At 35.3% G+C, this 20,833-nt stretch overlaps 1 long non-coding RNA gene across 1 annotated transcript in view; it reads right to left on the bottom strand.

Moving 5' to 3' along the window:
* The window catches only part of LINC00373 (long intergenic non-protein coding RNA 373), a 93,216-nt gene that overhangs the window by 24,216 nt on the left and 48,167 nt on the right, over positions 1-20,833 (bottom strand). The gene's annotated exons all lie outside the window — the stretch shown is intronic.

Here is a 20,833-nt window from a genome sequence, read left to right as displayed (position 1 = left end):
AGTTGACAAACATTTTGTTCACATTGATCAGCAAGGACAAACAGTTTAGCTATCATTTATGAGACAAATAATGAGAATTTGGAGGATCTGTGTCTGGCATTGTCATAAATAAACAAGTGAGGCATCCATGAGTCTTATCTAAGTCACATGGGAAAGTGTGGTCCTCTGCAGTAGCCATTTTAGGAGACACAAAGGATTGGGGTATTTTTTAGCCTTCACAGTTTTACAGGAGTACAGGGCTCATGTAAAATTTAACGTTGTCACTAAAGATATTCACCTTCATAATCTCCAAAAATTGTCTGTCTTGCCTTGCTGCAATTTCTCTCTCTCTTCCTAACTACAGACCCATTACATAATCTATCCCATTATTTATACTTTTAGAAAAGACAGGGAAAGAAATTAGCATTAGGCTGCTTCTAATGTTTACCTTTAAAAAGTCCTTGAATCGAAAAATTGTACAATCTGTCTACATTTTAGAAATCAGAGGAATATATTTACAGATATACTCAATGTAATATTTGTCTTGCATCACAAATATATCATTCATCACAACTTTCTAACTCACCAACCGGTTTACTCAAGTATTCCTACCAAAGCAAGTCTGAGATCATATCGTGCCAACATTTATTATATGTATAATATTTTCATTGTGCAATAGTCTCTTGTGGCTCACTTCTCTATTGGTCAAGCTGTAATCCAGAGATCTTCCTTTAGACTTAAATTACTAAAAAGAAGGCCCAATCCTTTCACTCAGGCAAAAGCCCAAGTCTGCATAAAACTTTAGTCCATGATTTCCATATCGACATCCAAATAGCTGAAGAATAGTAGAGACATTCACATAAATTTGCTTTAAACGTGTGATGATAAATCCCACCCAACCACTCAACATTGATAGATTAATTTTTCTATTTTTACAAGGGTTATTTAAAATTTTCTTTGTGCTCTTTAAAACTTCTGTATCTTCTTACAAACACATTTTTATGGTAATTTATAGGCTCATACTTCACAGATAAAATAGATTTAATCAGAATAAAATACATTTATCTTCCCTTCAATTAATCTGTAAATACATCTATTATCAAATCTATTTTCAGTATTATTTCTGCTTTACAACTCATTGTAAAACAGACCAGACCCCTTCTCAAATCAAAGTCTCTCCACTTCCCGTGCAGGTTTGACTAGCTCATTCATACTCCTCCCCACAATTCCAGAAGCATACAACCATGACCTAATGTTTTCTTTCTGTAAGAGTCTCTTTTTTCCATATATCTTTCAGAAATTTCACATCCTACTTGATTCTCTTGCCATTGAAATCTTCTCAGAAACTGTATATAAAATGTCTCCATTTCCTTGACCTCAGTTATTTTTAACTTATGTGAATTTGGTTTTATTTCCCACCATTCCAGTGAAATTATTTTGCCAAAGCCACCAAAACACTACATTTTGAAATGTAATTTGCCTACTTCTATCTACATCTTTCTCGATTTATCCATATGGTTTAACACAATTGAATTGATTTGCCTTGTTATAACACTTGTGATATGATCCACTCCTAAATTCCTTCCTATCCCAGTGGATGTTTCATTTCAGTCTACTTCGCTGAGTCCTTCTCTCCTCAATAACAGATGTGAAACTTCATCAGAACTTGGTCATGTCTCTCTTTGATTCATCCTTTCTCCCTAAATTCCGGGGAATTAAATAGAATAGAATCATAAAAACTCAGGAACTTATCTTCCCAGCTATCTTTCAATTAAGCATAAGGAATCTAGTGTCATGTTCCTTATTTTTCTCTTGTAGTTAATTTGGTACTTTTTTTCTGTAAACCTTTAGGATTTTCTTTTTCTGTGAAGTGTCAACATATTCTGCCTAGCTTTATATCTTTTTTTTAATTTATTCTCCTCAGAATTCACTTGGGGATTGTCAGGTGAAGATTTATGATCTTCTTCAGCACAATTTTCCCCTTTATTAAGTATTTTATTGTTTTTCTTTACTTCATTCCCTCTGCCTCCTTCTGAATTTCTCGAAAAGTACAGTAGAGCTATCAAAAAATATCCTTTATCTCATTCACATATGTTCAGTTCAATACATCTTTTTGTCTGCCTCTCTTGCCATGGGATCTAGGAGAATGCTGTAGATCACTAATTTGCTCTTGAGGTGAAAACATTAAGCTAATAATTCCATCTTTTTTAAAGAATATATTTTTAAATATCAAATATCTCTAGTAATCCCATTCACTTTATGGTCTGTCTTTGGTTAATGGTTTCCTATCCATCCCTATGAATTTTCTAGCAATATTTGATATAATATACTTTTGAAATATTTTATGTGCATTACTTTAATTCCACTTCCTAAATTAGCAATTATTCTTTTTGTTTAGTGTTCTTTTATCTCCTGAAACAATATTTGGTAATTCTCAGTTGCCTGCTTGTTTTGTATTTTTTATTCCCTCCTAATCTCTTGGTAAATGCTAGCTCTCATTATAGCAGCTTTTTGAGTGAGTTACATGGTTAATTAAACATGTGGCTGTAGTGGAATGAGGATGAGGTAGCTTGTTTGCTTTTGCCACTCCTCCATGTCTTTCCTGGTGTTCACTTCTTTATCTTCCTTTCATAATACCAAATAAAAATGGTAATATTAGCCCACACATTGATTCTCACCAATGTTGAAGGTAAATTTCTCAAAAAATTGCCAGATTGTTGAATGTTGAAGGTAAAGTCTGTCAACAAACTAACCTGCCTCAAATGCAAATTCCTCATTGCACCTTTCATAGTCAATTACCCCTGAGCTTTACATCACTCTGGTATTTAGTTATTTGGAGTTTGGAGAACTGGAATTCTATCCTCTTTGAAAATAATGCTCATATATTGTATTCATTTCTACTAATCTTGTTTTTCCTTCAATCTAGAAACATCTGCTTCCTGATTTTTAGTAATTTTACATACTCCTGATTTGTACTTCCTTATATTGGACAGTTGTGGAGCATGTTGGGGACCAAGAGGGGAGGAAGTTGGTTCAAAAACTGGTAAGTACCAGTATGTCTTTTTTTATCCACAGAATTGTCAATGATTGGAGCCAAGGGAGGATGTAGATATACATGCCCAGTACATCATCTTAACCCAAATTATGACATTTATTTTTCCTGGTACCATTCAGAAACATTATATGATTACATCATGGAATGAACAGATTCACATGAAGTATGGCACAGCCTGAGAAACAAAAAACAAATATGTGCCAGGATGGCTCGTTCATTGCACGTCAAGGAGTATTATTCTAGTGACCAATGCAGGCATAACATTGCCCTCAGCTTGACAAAACTATAGACAAGCTTCCCATTGCCTCTAGATCCCTGACCTCCCTCTTACCCTGTTCCTTACAGAATTCAGATTTTCTAACCACGGAGATCTCTCCTCTACATTTTCTTAGCTTATTTACCTTAGAAAATTTTTGATTGTAGATTCCTTCTCTGCCCCATTAAGTTGTAAATCGTTTTATAAGCCTCTCATAAGTTTTAAAACTTATGACTGTCTTTCTCAAAGATCTGGGAGCCATCCTTTTGAAATGTAATCAAGGAATATAGCATTCCGCCTCTTCTCTGTGGGAGGGTAGGAGCTTAACTTTGGTAGGCACCATCTTCAAGTTGTAAAACTATCTCCTGTCATGAAGATACAAGAAAATTTCCTTTTCCTTTGGGTGAGGTCAATTCTCACAGATGGCTTAAGACTCCCCACTCTCCAAGCGCTTAAAACGCCTTCCCAACCTTTGTTTAAGTGGAGTAGAGTTTGCAGCACTTCTTCCTAATCTCTTTAAGTTTATCCAGTGCAACTTTTGCTTTGGCATCAGTTCAAATTAAATCATTAATTCATCAATATTGGGAGAGAAAAATGCTTAAAGCAATTAAAGTAAAAAACATACCCATCAGAAATCTCTTTCTTCCTTGACTACATTGGCTACTCCTTAAAGTACATGACTAAATTTAAAAAGATCTGCTTTTTTAAATGATGCAGAGCATACAATTGGGAAAATGTACATACAAACTATGTGGAAACTCATTCTCTTTCTGCCAAATATCTGTTTTCTATTTTTCTGGACAATGACCCTCCATCCATTCTAATGTCTGTGTAAGAAAATACACACAAATAATTGGCAATGTCAGCTCTTTGCCTTTGGTAATATAGGGCATTCTCAATGTTTTCAGAAATAATTTGGTTATTTTGGGATTGATGTAACTCTACATGAACTTTTCTTATCACGATATGTTTTCATGAATAAGAGGTATGTTTTGCATAAAAATAAATTTTTTCTTATTACATTTATTTCTGAACTATTGTGTTTTGTTTTTCATGAATCTGGTAGTAATGGTTGACCCCAAAATGAGATGGAAAATATGAATTATTAATTAAGTTTTCAAGTCTGTGCTTTTATTTCTATGATTAAAAGGTTATAATCAAGGCTGACTTTGGTGGCTCACACCTGTAATCCCAGCACTTTGGGAAGCAAAGGCAGGTGGATTATTTGAAGTCAAGAGTTTGAGAACAGTCTGGTCAACATGGCGATAGCCCATCTCTTCTAAAAAGATACAAAAATTAGCCAGGTGTGGTGGTGGGCGCCTGTAGTCCCAAGTACTCGGGAGGCTGAGACAGGAGAATCACTTGAACCTGGAAGGCAGAGGTTGCCGTGAGCCGAGTTTGAGCCACTGCACTCCAGCCTGGGAGACAGAGTGAGACTCAGTCTAAAAACAAAACAAAACAGAACAAACAACAACAGCAGCAGCAGCAAAATAATAATAATAATCAAGCATTATCTATGTTTGAGGTCATTTTAGTTGATCTCATGATATGTATACATGTAAATGTATGGCTCCTAATTTATTTTCTACAATGAAAGTTGGTAATGAACACATGTAACTGTAGCATAACATGCATAGTAAGAAGACAAAATGTTTGTGACATAAGTAGTATTTGATAAGACTTAAAAGTAATACTTTAGAGTACTTTAGGATAATACTCCATAGGAGTTCTGTTACAAAGTTATGAGGTGTTCACTTAAAGAGGCTTTATACATTTAGCATTACTTAAGATAAATCTTTGTGTGGGGGTATTATTTGACTTATACACGTGATACACTGATGATAATAGAAGAAATGTGAGCAATATAGGGCACTACAGGAAAGTGGTGGGAAAGAAATTACATCCAAAAGACTGCTTCAAAACTCATCTTTGATCCTACCCAACATTAATTTAAGGATACTATTTTTCTCTGAATATCACTTTCTTCATCTGATAATGATAACATTCATTTCTCAGAATTAGTTGAAGAACAAAAAAATGAATTTTGAAATTTTGTAACTAGCAAATTAATTAGCATGGAAGCTACACAAGTAGAAGCTCAATACATATTAGTTCACTCTCTACTAATTCCAATAGATGACATATGAAAAGAATGACATATCAGGATAATAATGGTCAGTAATGCAGTATATCTAGAAGATAGGTTATATCACTAAGTAGATGTAGATGGCAAAATTAGGCTACTTTCGAAAGCTTATAAGACCAAGAAAATATATTTGAATGTTTTCATACAGAAAATGGATAGCAATGATTTTTTTCATATTTGTTGCCTTTCTTCAGATTTATATTACAAAAAGAGTATTACTGTACCAGTAATAAATATATAGGCATATTATGTATATATTTATTTATATAACATTTATGAAAAAATAGTCAGCCAGACCAAAGCAAATATTTTAGTGTAATTTATACCATGAATCAACTGGAATGATTTCAAAACTGATTTTAGGACAATAAACTGAACCTAGCTACATTTATATATTATTAGTAATATTATAAGCATGGTGCAAACTCAAAAAGGTAAAGTCATTTTTCTTTCGACGATATCAAAAGTTTCCCCTCTCCAAAACTGAGCATCTATGGTACTACCTGATTTCTTTGGCATTTGTTCACACTCTTAAATTATTTGAAATAATCACTTTATAATAATTCTGAGGAAGATGATAGTTTACTTAAAATACATATTATATGTATTTAGCCCGATTAGTATGGCAACATTAGTAAGTGTAACTTATTAACAGATACAAATTTACCAGATTATCTAGATGCTACATTAACCCCATTTGGAATAATAACCATGTTGTGAAGAATTTTCTCTTTCTTGGGCAGTGTGATAAACTCTTTACAACCATGTATAGCTCATTCATTATCAAAAAATCCTGAGATTATAAACCTATCATTGTTTCTATTTTGTAGAGAGGATATTGAGCTTGGTGATATTAAGTACCTTATCTGAGATTACTCAAGTAACAAGTGAAATGAGCCAAAATTCTCCAGAGCTAACACTTATATCCATAGTGTTATAGTAGAGATTATTAGGTCCAAAGTCTTAAGGAGAGGTCAATAATAAGCATTCTTACAGAGCATGTGAAAATAAGCTAGGGCAGGTCATTTTCAGTGATCAGTTGAAATGGGTTCTGGATGGTGACAGAAGAAAGCTTTAATCAAAAACATATTTAGTGGCTAGCTAAAATCACTGATTTTTAAACAATCAATTCTGTTTTTTGTTTGTTTTGTTTGCATTTTTCCAGCATATACTAAGAATATTCATAGAATTGTAGAGTAATAATAATTTAGAGGACATCTAAAATTTCCACAAAATCAACAGTTCAATGCTGCTGGAACAGAAATGGCCACTTCTCAGAATAATTGTCACTTCTTTACTGTTGTAATTTGTGTGTGTGTGTGTGTGTATATATATATATATATATATATATATATATATATATATATTCCTTTAAGGATACAAATATATCTTTTTCCACCTCCCATAAACTTGCACTGTTTTCAACAACTAAGATTCTGGTGAGAACCAATTGCCTTTTCCACATGAAATAATTTTTGATATCATAGAGCTAATACATATTCTGAAAACTTCCATTTTCTAGGATATTAATTTTGTTCGTTATAGTTGAATCTCTAGAACACATCACAATTATCCTTGCTTACCCCTGAATACAATACAGCTTATCATCATACTTCTTAACATGTGTTGTACAGAATTTAAATATATACATAATGAATAATCATATATACATTAAAAGATTTTTGATATATCTCTGGTTCCTTTTCACCAGAAAAATCATAATGTTGGTTATTCATTCATATTGAATTTTAACCTACAATCATCTGTCTGAAGACAGAAGATATGAATTTGCCTTAAAAATATTAACTCAATTTGCATGTAAAATATCAGCTGAAGTACATACTTTAATTGTAATAATTATACTTTTGGCTTTTATTAAAAACATAACAATTAAGAAAAAGTTTCAAGTAATTTGGTCATTTAATAATGGAAGATATTTCAATGTCCCTGGAGTTTGTTTAACAAATTAAAGATTTTAAATCATCAACACTTATTTCAATCATTTTAATTAAAAGCCTATGAAGACTTCCACTTAGGGCAGGACCCACCTAAAGATGCAACTCTACTCTCATGCTAAATTAATATTTTAAGTTTTCTATATGATGACAGGAACCATATAAAATGAAGCTAGTCAAAGAGGTTAATTAGCTGGGACAAGTGCCCAAAAAGTTTCATGTTGTATTATTTCTACTTAGAGATAGGGCACAAAGTTAGTCTTCAAGAGCAATATCAATGACAGTGACAATATGTGAGACAGCAGGCAGTGGTAGGAACATGGCTCATGAGAAATCATGCTCCCAATGAAAAAGAATTTCCATTAAAATGAAAAGAAATGGATCACTGTACTGGCACAATGAAAGAAGGCGGGAAAGCAGGAAGGCTGACAAGAAGAAAGAAGCAAAGAAGGGGGAAGGGAGAAAGGAAAAAAAAGAGGAAAGGGAGGGAAAGTAAGTCTGATATAAATTCAGGAAGTGCATTGCTTGTGTGTTACTCTCTTCTCTACATAGAAGTCAATCAACAGCTTCGGTCTCTGCATGATGGAATCCAAAATGACTCTTTTTACAATGTGAAGTAAGAGGATATCCATTACAAAACCCAACATTAAATTCAATGCTGTTAAAATCATAATAAATTGTGAAAATGAAACCTGATTTCCCAGTGTTCCAGCTCCAGCAGAGAGATAATTTGCCTTGCAAAATGGAGCACGCATTTCACTTTCCTATATTATCATCTCTGCTGTTGTTGGACTGAGCACTTAATTACCTGAATGGACCATATTTTCACCTCCAAGATCCCACACAAGCTATTCCTATTCTTGCAACTCTAATTCCTTTATACTACTCCAGAATACTATTGTTTATTTGAATACTTTTAACTTAAAATAACATTTCCTACTCAGACCTTTAAGGGATGCAGCAGGTATTTCCTCTGTGCTCCCACATTGTTTTGTAATTTTCTCTATGTTAGCACTTATCATACTGAATAATAATGGACTAAGAGATTTGAAGATGGAGATTTGTCGGGTCCAGCTTGAATCCCGAGGGTATGGAGCAATATCTCCTCAAGCCTGACACAATTTACTAAATAAATGAATAACTACAGAAAAAAATGTGCTATTGCTTTCCCATCAACTTAATTACACATTCTAAAGGAGTCTATTTATGAGGAAACTAAGCATGCTATTATTTCATATTGATTGTGAACTAACACTACTAACACATTCTCCTCCTCTTTACACAGACTGCTGCCACACCAATTATCGCCAAAACGCAAATTCTCCTTCAATTGATCCTTAGTAATACATACACACAAGTGTGTGCACACACACAGAGACGCACACACAGACACACACACACACACCCCTTACAATTTACATTCTCGTTTTCCAGATCATGTTGAATCTCTTTCTCAACGTGGTTAAGCTGACATTTACTATTTTCTTTTTTAGCTATTAGGTACTGTTCTTGGTATTGAGAACACACAGGCATTTAAGACTTATTCCAAGCCCTTCTCAGTGGCTTTCTGCCTTATGGAGAAAAGGAAAACAAATAAAAACCAAAACGTAAACCAACTAATACAATGCATTGTAAAATTGTGCTACATTAACATTTTACTTAGGATGCTACAGCAATGCCAAACACTTATAACTAAATTCAACTGGGTTCTTATAAAAATTAAGCCTTGTGAAATGAGTAAAAGTCAACTAGATGAAAGGAAGTTAATAACAGGAAAAAGGAGACCCAGATAGGACAATGGGCGAACATAACATGATCACGGAACTGCCAGTAGTTTTAAATGGTTAGGCTTAAGGATGCCTGTTAAGAAATTCTAAGATTATGAAAATCTGTTGAGATAAATCAAGGAGATAAAATTGTATTCTAAGAATTATTGTAAGCTGCTGGACTTCAAATACAGAGTAACTTCAACGTATTTTTCTGTGAGGTTAACCATGCCACAAAATCTTTAACTTCACTTCCACATTTAATTATTTCCTCTAGTCATCGATAAAAATATAGAATGCTTAAGAGCCAAGGATAGAGCCCTACAACACATCACTAGTGATTTTTATTAATTAACAATTTTTAATTAGGAGTTTTTGCCAGATGTGAATACATTTAACCATATTATTTTCTGCCCAATGCTTCTTCATCTTTCTGTGAAGATATAAGAAGAGATTTTGACAAATGCTTTGTCAAAATACAGACACACCATTGATTGCTGTACCTATACTTACAAATAACTTCATTACTTGGAAGAGAGAGCACTTAACATCTTATAATGGAAATATTTTGTTATTAAACCATGACTTTTTCTCTTTTGTCTCTTAGAACCACATTCTTCTTTTGGGCAACTGCTCCTTCCTGACTCCAAACATATGCCTTTAGAGGGCACTAGCAATTATTTCATTTTACCCTCATAGGTACAAGGAGGGTTTCAAAGAATAATCGTGCAACCCAATCCTTGCCAACCAGAATTCTTCACAAAAATTTTTCAAACTGATCTGAATAAAAGTTCTTTTTGTTTGTCTTAAATGGTACAAATGTAAAGACAGAAGCCTGGTAATTGCCTAAGATTCAGCAACTCACTTGTTGAGAAGTTGGTCTGTAAGGGAAATAGTATAGATTCAAAGACAAAGTTTGAATAGCTATGAGTCTCTGCATGTAGTCATAAGCAGCTAGCCATGGTGCATCCGTGCTGTATGAGTTATTAAATGTTGTTTTAGAATACAGACTAGGTTACATTTATATTATATTGGAATTAGATTAGTGCAAAGTGTAAGCAAAAGAATTCTTACTAATATATAGCACATTGATTGTGATTACATCACAAGTAGCCGCATATGGCCAAAGTCATATATGTGCAACATTTTGTATATTGATTATACCTCAATAAGGAAAACAAATGTGTGTGTGTGTGTGTAGGTGGGTGGGTGGATGTATTAGTCCATTTACACACTGCTGATAAAGACATACCCAAGACTGGGTAATTTACAAAAGAAAGAGTTTTAATTGGACTTACAGTTCTACATGGCTGGGAGGCCTCACAATTATAGTGGAAGGCAAGAAGGAGCAAGTCATATCTTACGTAGACGGCAGCAGGCAAAAAAGAGCTTGTGCAGAGAAACTGAGAATTTGGCAATAGAGATGTGATCAGTGAACTCACGAGGAGGTCTCTCACTTTGCGTGTTCATTTTGTGAGTGTGTGTATGTGTGAGTGTGTGTTGAGGGAGTTGTGTGTTTGTAGTAGGAAGTAATCAGGATTCAGGGGACAAATAAGTCATTTATTAAATACTTTATTTCACATTAGCGAGAACAATAAGGTATCTTCTATTAACAAAATGAAAAGAACCACATTTATCTTCATTAACAAAGATCCAGAAAAATAGAAGTCATCTAGTTCTCTAAAAGCTCAGAAAATATTCCAGTTTGTATATCTTGAAGTTTATAGAATTGCCCGGAAAAACTTAACTGGTTCAAGAATTGTAATCTTACCATACATACCTGAAAAAACAGACAAAATACATGTTTTCAGATATTGGACAACGGACCTTGAAGGACTGGGATACTTGAAAGAAAACAAAGCCCACTTGATCATGGTGGATAAGTTTTTTGATGTGCTGCTGGATTCGGTTTGCCAGTATTTTATTGAGGATTTTTGCATCAATGTTCATCAAGGATATTGGTCTAAAATTCTCTTTTTTGGTTGTGTCTCTGCCCGGCTTTGGTATCAGAATGATGCTGGCCTCATAAAATGAGTTAGGGAGGATTCCCTCTTTTTCTATTGATTGGAATAGTTTCAGAAGGAATGGTACCAGTTCCTCCTTGTACCTCTGGTAGAATTCAGCTGTGAATCCATCTGGTCCTGGACTCTTTTTGGTTGGTAAACTATTGATTATTGCCACAATTTCAGATCCTGTTATTGGTCTATTCAGAGATTCAACTTCTTCCTGGTTTAGTCTTGGGAGAGTGTATGTGTCGAGGAATGTATCCATTTCTTCTAGATTTTCTAGTTTATTTGCGTAGAGGTGTTTGTAGTATTCTCTGATGGTAGTTTGTATTTCTGTGGGATCGGTGGTGATATCCCCTTTATCATTTTTTATTGCGTCTATTTGATTCTTCTCTCTTTTTTTCTCTATTAGTCTTGCTAGCGGTCTATCAATTTTGTTGATCCTTTCAAAAAACCAGCTCCTGGATTCATTAATTTTTTGAAGGGTTTTTTGTGTCTCTATTTCCTTCAGTTCTGCTCTGATTTTAGTTATTTCTTGCCTTCTGCTAGCTTTTGAATGTGTTTGCTCTTGCTTTTCTAGTTCTTTTAATTGTGATGTTAGGGTGTCAATTTTGGATCTTTCCTGCTTTCTCTTGTAGGCATTTAGTGCTATAAATTTCCCTCTACACACTGCTTTGAATGCGTCCCAGAGATTCTGGTATGTGGTGTCTTTGTTCTCGTTGGTTTCAAAGAACATCTTTATTTCTGCCTTCATTTCGTTATGTACCCAGTAGTCATTCAGGAGCAGGTTGTTCAGTTTCCATGTAGTTGAGCGGCTTTGAGTGAGATTCTTAATCCTGAGTTCTAGTTTGATTGCACTGTGGTCTGAGAGATAGTTTGTTATAATTTCTGTTCTTTTACATTTGCTGAGGAGAGCTTTACTTCCAACTATGTGGTCAATTTTGGAATAGGTGTGGTGTGGTGCTGAAAAAAATGTATATTCTGTTGATTTGGGGTGGAGAGTTCTGTAGATGTCTATTAGGTCAAAACCACTATGAGATATCATCTCACACCAGTTAGAATGGCAATCATTAAAAAGTCAGGAAACAACAGGTGCTGGAGAGGATGTGGAGAAATAGGAACACTTTTACACTGTTGGTGGGACTGTAAACTAGTTCAACCATTGTGGAAGTCAGTGTGGCGATTCCTCAGGGATCTAGAACTAGAAATACCATTTGACCCAGCCATCCCATTACTGGGTATATACCCAAAGGACTATAAATCATGCTGCTATAAAGACACATGCACACGTATGTTTATTGCGGCACTATTCACAATAGCAAAGACTTGGAACCAACCCAACTGTCCAACAATGATAGACTGGATTAAGAAAATGTGGCACATATGCACCATGGAATACTATGCAGCCATAAAAAATGATGAGTTCATATCCTTTGTAGGGACATGGATGAAATTGGAAACCATCATTCTCAGTAAACTATCGCAAGAACAAAAAACCAAACACTGCATATTCTCACTCATAGGTGGGAATTGAACAATGAGATCACATGGACACAGGAAGGGGAATATCACACTCTGGGGACTGTGGTGGGGTCGGGGGAGGGGGGAGGGATAGCATTGGGAGATATACCTAATGCTAGATGACACATTAGTGGGTGCAGCGCACCAGCATGGCACATGTATACATATGTAACTAACCTGCACAATGTGCACATGTACCCTAAAACTTAGAGTATAATAAAAAAAAAAAAGAAAAAAAACAAAATGGGGTAAGTCCTACAACTTTCCTAGATTGCTGCAGAAATCAGTCTCTAAGCCCGAGCAAAGGTGTATGAAACTAGTCTAGTGATCTTGCTGAGATGAGGAGACAGACATTAGGGTTTAGAAAGGAAAGGTTAAGATGGCTATTATTTATATAGCAGAATACTGGAGATAAAGAAGCTGCATAAACAAAAACAGATCACGAAAAACTGGCCAGGGAAACCCCCTCTCCAGTCTTTGGTAGAGTACCAATCTCTGCATGCATGGGTAAAATTTCAAGGCCAAAGAAAGCACCACTGGCAAGCAAGTAAACAATTTTTACCAGACAGAAAGCAGAGCTCTCATACTCCATAGGATATTAAGTAGAATCTACAGAACAACTGTGTTTAGTAGTACAGCTATAAAAGCGTAAAAGTAGGGGCTGCTCCATATTTGTCATTACAAAAACTCAGAAGCAAATGAATCCCAAGTAATTTAACTAACAATGTAACATTTTCTCATTAATATTATTCATATACAATAGTAGGTTACTATATGATAAATTAAAAATAAAAATGTTTAAAATATTTTATGAGATTAACAGTAGATTATGTACTACAGAAGAAAAGGTAAGTGAACTTGAAGACATACTAACAGTAACTATCCAAAAGGAAACACAGTAAGGGATAGAGACACTAATAAATTATTAGGTAGATGTTTCTTGCTTTGTTCTTTTTGCTTAGTATTGCCTTAGCTATTTGAGCTCCTTTTTGGCTCCATATGAATTTTAAAGTAGCTTTTTCTAGTTCATTGAAGAATGTTTCTGGTAGTTTGATAGGAATAGTATTGAATCTGTAAAGTTTTAGGCAGTATGGCCATTTTAACAATATTGAATCTTCCAATCCATAAGCATGGGATGTTTTTTCATTTGTTTGTGTCATCTCTGATTTCTTTGAGTAGTGTTTTGTAATTCTCATTGTAGAGATGGTTGCCCTCCCTGGTTTATCATCCACAAAGAGGGATAGCTTGACTTCCTCTCTTCCTATTTGGACGCCTTTATTTTTTTTTTCTTGCCTGATTGCTCTGGCCAGGACTTTCAATACTATGTTGAACAGGAGTGGTGAGAGAGGACATCTTTGTCTTGTGCCAGTTTTCAAAGGGACCATTTCGTATGACAGTGGCCTGTGGGTTTGTCATAGATGGCTCGATTTCTTTTGAGCTATGTTCCTTCAATGCCTAGTTTCTGGAAAGTATTCAACATAAAGGGATATTGAATTGTATTGAAAGCCTTTTCTGCATCTATGAAGATAATCATGTGGTTTTTGTCTTTACCTCTACTTATGTGATGAATTACAATTATTTATTTGCATATGTTGAACCAACCTTGCATCCTATGGGTAAAGCCTACTTGATCACAGTAGATTAGCTTTTGACGTCCTGTTGGATTCAGCTTGCTAGTATTTTGGTTGAGGATTTTTGCATCAGTGTGCTACTTAACTTCAAACTACACTACAGGGCTACAGTATTAAAAACAGCATCGTATTGATACAAAAACAGACACATAGACCAATGAAATAGAATACAAAACCCAGAAATAAGTCCTCAAATCTATGGGCATCTGATCTTTGACAAAACTGAAAAAGAAAAGCAATGGGGAAAAGACTCCTTGGTGCAGGGATAACTGGTTAGCCATATGCAGAACACTGGAACTAGGCCCCTTCTTTTCACCACATAAAAAAATTAACTCAAGATGAATTAAAGACCTAAATTTAAAACCCAAAACTATAAAAACCATGAAAGACAACCTAGGCAATAACATTCTAGACATAGAACTGGGCAAAGATTTCATGATAAAGATGTCAAAAAAGCAATTGCAACAAAGGTAAAAATTTACAAATGAGATCTAATTAAACTAAAGCATTTCTGCACAGCAAAATAAACCATCATCAGAGTGAATAGAAAATTTATAGAATGGGAGCTGGAGGCATTATCTTTTGCAAACTAACACAGGAAAAGAAAAGCAAATGCTGCATGCTCTCACTTATAGGTGGGAGCTAAATGATAAGAACACAAGAACACAAAGAGGGGAACAACAGTTGCTGGGGCCTACCTGAGGTTGAAGAGTGGGAGGAGGGAGAGGATTAGAAAAAAGTAACTATTGAGTACTAGGCTTAGTATCTGGGATGCAAAACAATCTGCACAATATACCCGCATGACAGGAGTTTACCTATATCAGGACTGCACATGTACCTTTGAAACTAAAAGATTTTTAAAAAATCAGCACAGCATCAGTGTATTAGTCCATTTTCATACTGCTATGAAGAAATACGCAAGACTGGGTAATTTAATGGACTCACAGTTTCACATGACTGGGGAGACCACACAATCATGGCAGAAGGCAAAGGAGGGGCAAAGGCACATCTTACATGGTGGCAGGAAATAGAGAGTGTGCAGGGGAACTGCTCTTTTTAAAACCACAAGATCTCATGAGACTTATTCACTATCATGAGAACAGCATGGGAAAAACCTGCCCTCATGATTCAATTACCTTGCAACTGGTCCCTTCCACGACATGTAGGGATTATGGGAGCTACAATTCAAGATGAGATTTGGGTGGGGACACAGCCAAACCATATTATCATGGTGGAAGGGGAAGCAGACAAGTCCTTCTCCACTTGGTGGCAGCAAGGAGATGTGCAGACCAAAGTGCGGGGGAAAACCCCTTATAAAAACATCAGATCTCATGAAAACTCACTCACCATGGTGGGAACAGCATAGAGGTAACCATGCTGGGATTCAATTACCCCCCAACGGGTCTCTCCCATGACACATGGGGATTATGAAAGTTATGATTGAAGATGAGATTGGGGTGGGGACACAAGCAACCATATCAATCAGTATCTGAGGAATAAAATTTAATACTCTAATAGATATCTAATAGATATGTAGTTAGAATACTGAAAAAAAGTCTAGGGTAAGTCAGAAAATAATATTTGAAGAGACACTGACAAAGAATTATCTAAATGTGATCAAAACTATGAATCCACAGATCTAAGAAGTTTAATCAACTGCAAGCATAGTAAACATACAGAAAATGATATCAAGGCACATCATAATAAAATTGTTGAATACAAGTCATAAAAAGAAAAAAATTAAAAGCAGCAGGAAAAAAAGACTATATACAGAGAGAGGAACAATGGTACATCATGACATAGACAACTTTGTGTCAGAAACTATTCAATACTGAGAAAACTAGAGCACTACCACAGAAGGACTAAAGAAAAATCTGGTTAATTTAGAATCCTATTCACAATGAAAATATATTTTAAAAGGCTGGCTAAATAAAACTTTTTTAGAATGAATGTATTGCTAATAGACATGACTATAAGAAAAGTTAAAAGAAATTCTTCAGGGTGAAGTAAAATATTTTAAGGAAACTGGGAGCTATACAAAGGAATGAAGACTTATAGAAAGTTATGTGGGTGAATAAAAATCTTTCTTCTCATTTTAATCACTTTAAAATCAATTGATTGAAAGGAAATTACAACTGACGTTTTGTGAGGCTTATAAACATATGATATATAAACAAGTACAGAATTAAAATGCTAGCTAATAGTACACATAAGGGGATAACTAGAAGTACAGTACACTGATTTAAGATTCTTACACTTTAATGTTATTTAAATAGCATTAGATGTTATTTAAATAGCATTAGATAATATCTGATTTAATGTTGTTTAAATAGCATTAGATAATATTTCATACTAAATACTATTTGAACTAGTTTTTTAAATCTAATATTTAATATTACTTGATGTTATGTTATGCATCTTAAATAAGAGTTTCTCAGTCTTGACACTACTGACACTTTGGCTTAGATAATTCTTTGCTATGGGGGGCTCTCCTGTGAATACTAGGATGTTGAGCAGAATCTCTGACGTCTACCCATTAAATGTCAGCAGCACACACACTTCCTATCCAATATGAAAGCAAAAAATATCCCCAGACACTGACAAATGTATCTTGAGGGCAATATCGCCGCTAGTTGAAAATCACTGCTTTAGAATAATTAAAATGTAAATAAAAGAGGAATAGCTAATGAAATAATAGTAAAAGTAAAGTGAAACACTAGCATATAATATTATTCCAAAAGAAAACATGAAAAGATTTTTGTTTAAATAGATGAGACAAGTGGAAAACAGAGACATTGGACTCAAACCCAATCATATTAAAAAGTACATTAAAAAGTATAGCAGTCTATAAACACCTCTACACAAACAAACTAGAAAATCTAGAAGAAATGGATAAATTCTTGGACACATACACCCTCCCAAGACTAAACCAGGAAGAAGCTGAATCCCTGAATAGACCAATAACAGGCTCTGAAATTGAGGCAATATTAATAGCTAACCAACAAAAAAAAAGTCCATGACCACACAGATTCACAGCCAAATTCTACCAGATGTACAAGGAGGAGCTGGTACTATTCCTTCTGAAACTATTCCAATCAATAGAAAAAGAGGGAATCCTCCGTAACTCATTTTATGTGGCCAGCATCATCCTGATACTGAAGCCTGGCAGAGACACAACAAAAGAAGAGAATTTTAGACCAATATCCCTGATGAACATCAATGCAAAAATCCTCAGTAAAATACCGGCAAACCGAATCCAGCAGCACATCAAAAAGCTTATCCACCATGATCAAGTGGGCTTCATCCCTGGGATGCAAGGCTGGTTCAACATACGCAAATCAATAAATGTAATCCAGCATATAAACAGAACCAAAGAGAAAAACCACATGATTATCTCAATAGATGCAGAAAAGGCCTTTGACAAAATTCAACAGCCCTTCATGCTAAAAACTCTCAATACGTTGGTATTGATGAGACTTATCTCAAAATAATAAGAGCTATTTATGACAAACCCACAGCCAATATCATACTGAATGGGCAAAAACTGGAAGCATTCCCTTTGAAAACTGGCACAAGACACGGATGCTCTCTCTCACCACTCCTATTCAACACAGTGTTAGAAATTCTGGCCAGGGCAATCAGGCAGGAGAAAGAAATAAAAAGTATTCAATTAGGAAAAGAGGAAGTCAAATTGTCCCTGTTTGCAGATGACATGATTGTATATTTAGAAAACCCCATCGTCTCAGCCCAAAATCTCCTTAAGCTGATAAGCAACTTCAGCAAAGACTCAGGATACAAAATCAATGTGCAAAATTCACAAGCATTCTTATACAGCAATAACAGACAAACAGAGAGCCAAATCATGAATGAACTCCCATTCACAATTGCTTCAAAGAGAATAAAATACCTAGGAATCCAACTTACAAGGGATGTGAAGGACCTCTTCAAGGAGAACTACAAATCACTGCTCAACAAAATTAAAGAGGACACAAACAAATGGAAGAACATTCCATGCTCATGGATAGGAAGAATCAATATCATGAAAATGGCCATACTGCCCAAGGTAATTTATAAATTTAATGTCATCCCCATCAAGCTACCAATGACTTTCTTCACAGAATTGGAAAAAAACTACTTTAAAGTTCATATGGAACCAAAAAAGAACCCACATTGCCAAGACAATCCTAAGCCAAATGAACAAAGCTGGAGGCATCACGCTACCTGACTTCAAACTATACTACAAGGCTACAGTAACCAAAACAGCATGGTACTGGTACCAAAACAGAGATATAGACCAAGGGAACAGAACAGAGGCCTCAGAAATAATACCACACATCTACAACCGTCTGATCTTTGACAAACCTGACAAAACAAGAAATGGGGAAAGGATTCACTATTTAATAAATGGTGCTGGGAAAACTGGCTGCCACATGTAGAACCTGAAACTGGATCCCTTCCTTACACCTTATACAAAAAAATAATTCAGGATGGATTAAAGACTTACATGTTAGACCTAAAACCATAAAAACCCTAGAAGAAAACCTAGGCAATACCATTCAGGACATAGGAATGGGCAAGGACTTCATGTCTAAAACACCAAAAGCAATGGCAACACAAGACAAAATTGACAAATGGGATCTAATTAAACTAAAGAGCTCCTGCACAGCAAAAGAAACTACCATCAGAGTGAACAGGCAACCGACAGAATGGGAGAAAATTTTTGCAATCTACTCATCTGACAAAGGGCTATTATCCAGAATCTACAATGAACTCAAATTTACAAGAAAAAAACAAACAACTCCATCAACAAGTGGGCAAAGGATATGAACAAACACTTCTCAAAGAAGACATTTATGCAGCCAAAAAACACATGAAAAAATGCTCATCATCACTGGCCATCAGAGAAATGCAAATCAAAACCACAATGAGATACCATCTCACACCAGTTAGAATGGCGATCATTAAAAGTCAGGAAACAACAGGTGCTGGAGAGGATGAGGAGAAATAGGAACACTTTTACACTGTTGGTGGGACTGTAAACTAGTTCAACCATTGTGGAAGACAGTGTGGCGATTCCTCAAGCATCTAGAACGAAAAATACCATTTGACCCAGCCATCCCATTACTGGGTATATACCCAAAGGATTATAAATCATGCTGCTATAAAGACACATGCACATGTATGTTTATTGTGGCACTATTCACAACAGCAAAGACTTGGAACCAACCCACATGTCCATCAATGATAGACTGGATTAAGAAAATGTGGCACATATACACCATGGAATGTCATGCAGCCATAAAAAATGATGAGTTCATGTCCTTTATAGGGACATGGATGAAGCTGGAAACCATCATTCTCAGCAAAGTATCGCAAGGACAAAAAACCAAACACTGCATGTTCTCACTCATAGGTGGGAATTGAACAATGCGAACACCTGGACACAGGAAGGAGAACATCATACACCTGGGCCTGTCCTGGGGTGGGTGGAGGGGGGAGGGATAGCATTAGGAGATATACCTAATGTAAATGATGAGTTAATGGGTGCAGCACACCAACATGGCACATGTATACACATGTAATAAACCTGCACATTGTGCACATATACCCTAGAATTTAAAGTATAATGATAATAATAATAAAAAAAAGTATAGCAATCTTTCTTTGACAGCCCCTCCCTAGGTCTCCTCTGTTACAAAGCTTGACAGACATTATGTCCTGCTCACAAGATCCAGGGAACATCTTTGCAGGCCTGGTTCCTGCTTTCCACTCTATGAATTATATTTAGCTATAACAATACCACTGTACCTCTGCCAATTCACAGAATTATTTTGGGCTGGCTTACAATAAGTCTCTCATCAATTCCTCCTTTAGAAAACTAGGAGTTTATGTAGTAATCCGTGTGTACATCTCAGACACCCTCAACTGTGTGTGACGCTCTCAAGCACCTAAATGGGCCCAGGCCCCAACAAGGTTTCAGCCTTTGATTGGAATTTGGAAGAATAGTTGCAAAGACACTTGAACTCTTTGAGCTCAAAGTTTGAACTCATTTGAGCTCAATCTTCTCACATTTTTATATAAAACACTGGGTTTGAAACATACTATCCAGTGATATAAAATGGAAAGGTATGTTTATATGTTGTTTCTGTAACTTAAAATTAGCTATATTGGGGTGTGTTTTTAATGTTAATGAATAGATAAAATTCTCATAATTTTGAACTCCCTTTAAAATAATCTATGTAGGATTCTGAGAGGCCAGGGGTTCAAGACAAGCCTGAGCAACAAAGGGAAATCCAGTTTCTATAAAAAATAAAAATGAAAATTAGCTGGGCATAGTGGCATGTACTTATAGTCCTAGCTACTCTGGAGGCTGAGGCAGGAGGATCACTTGTGCCCAGTAGTTTCAGGGTATGGTGAGGTATATGATAGTGATTTTATGAGGTCAAAATTTATACTTTTCCTTTAACTGCTTAATAGAATTTTAAAAAAAGGATTAGAACTCTCCTTCTTACAAAATA

This window comes from Homo sapiens, chromosome 13, assembly GCF_000001405.40.
Source record: "Homo sapiens chromosome 13, GRCh38.p14 Primary Assembly".
Lineage (NCBI taxonomy): Eukaryota > Metazoa > Chordata > Mammalia > Primates > Hominidae > Homo > Homo sapiens.
The sequence above is the reverse complement of the archived record's forward strand: the minus strand, read 5'-3'. Positions and strand labels throughout refer to the sequence as shown.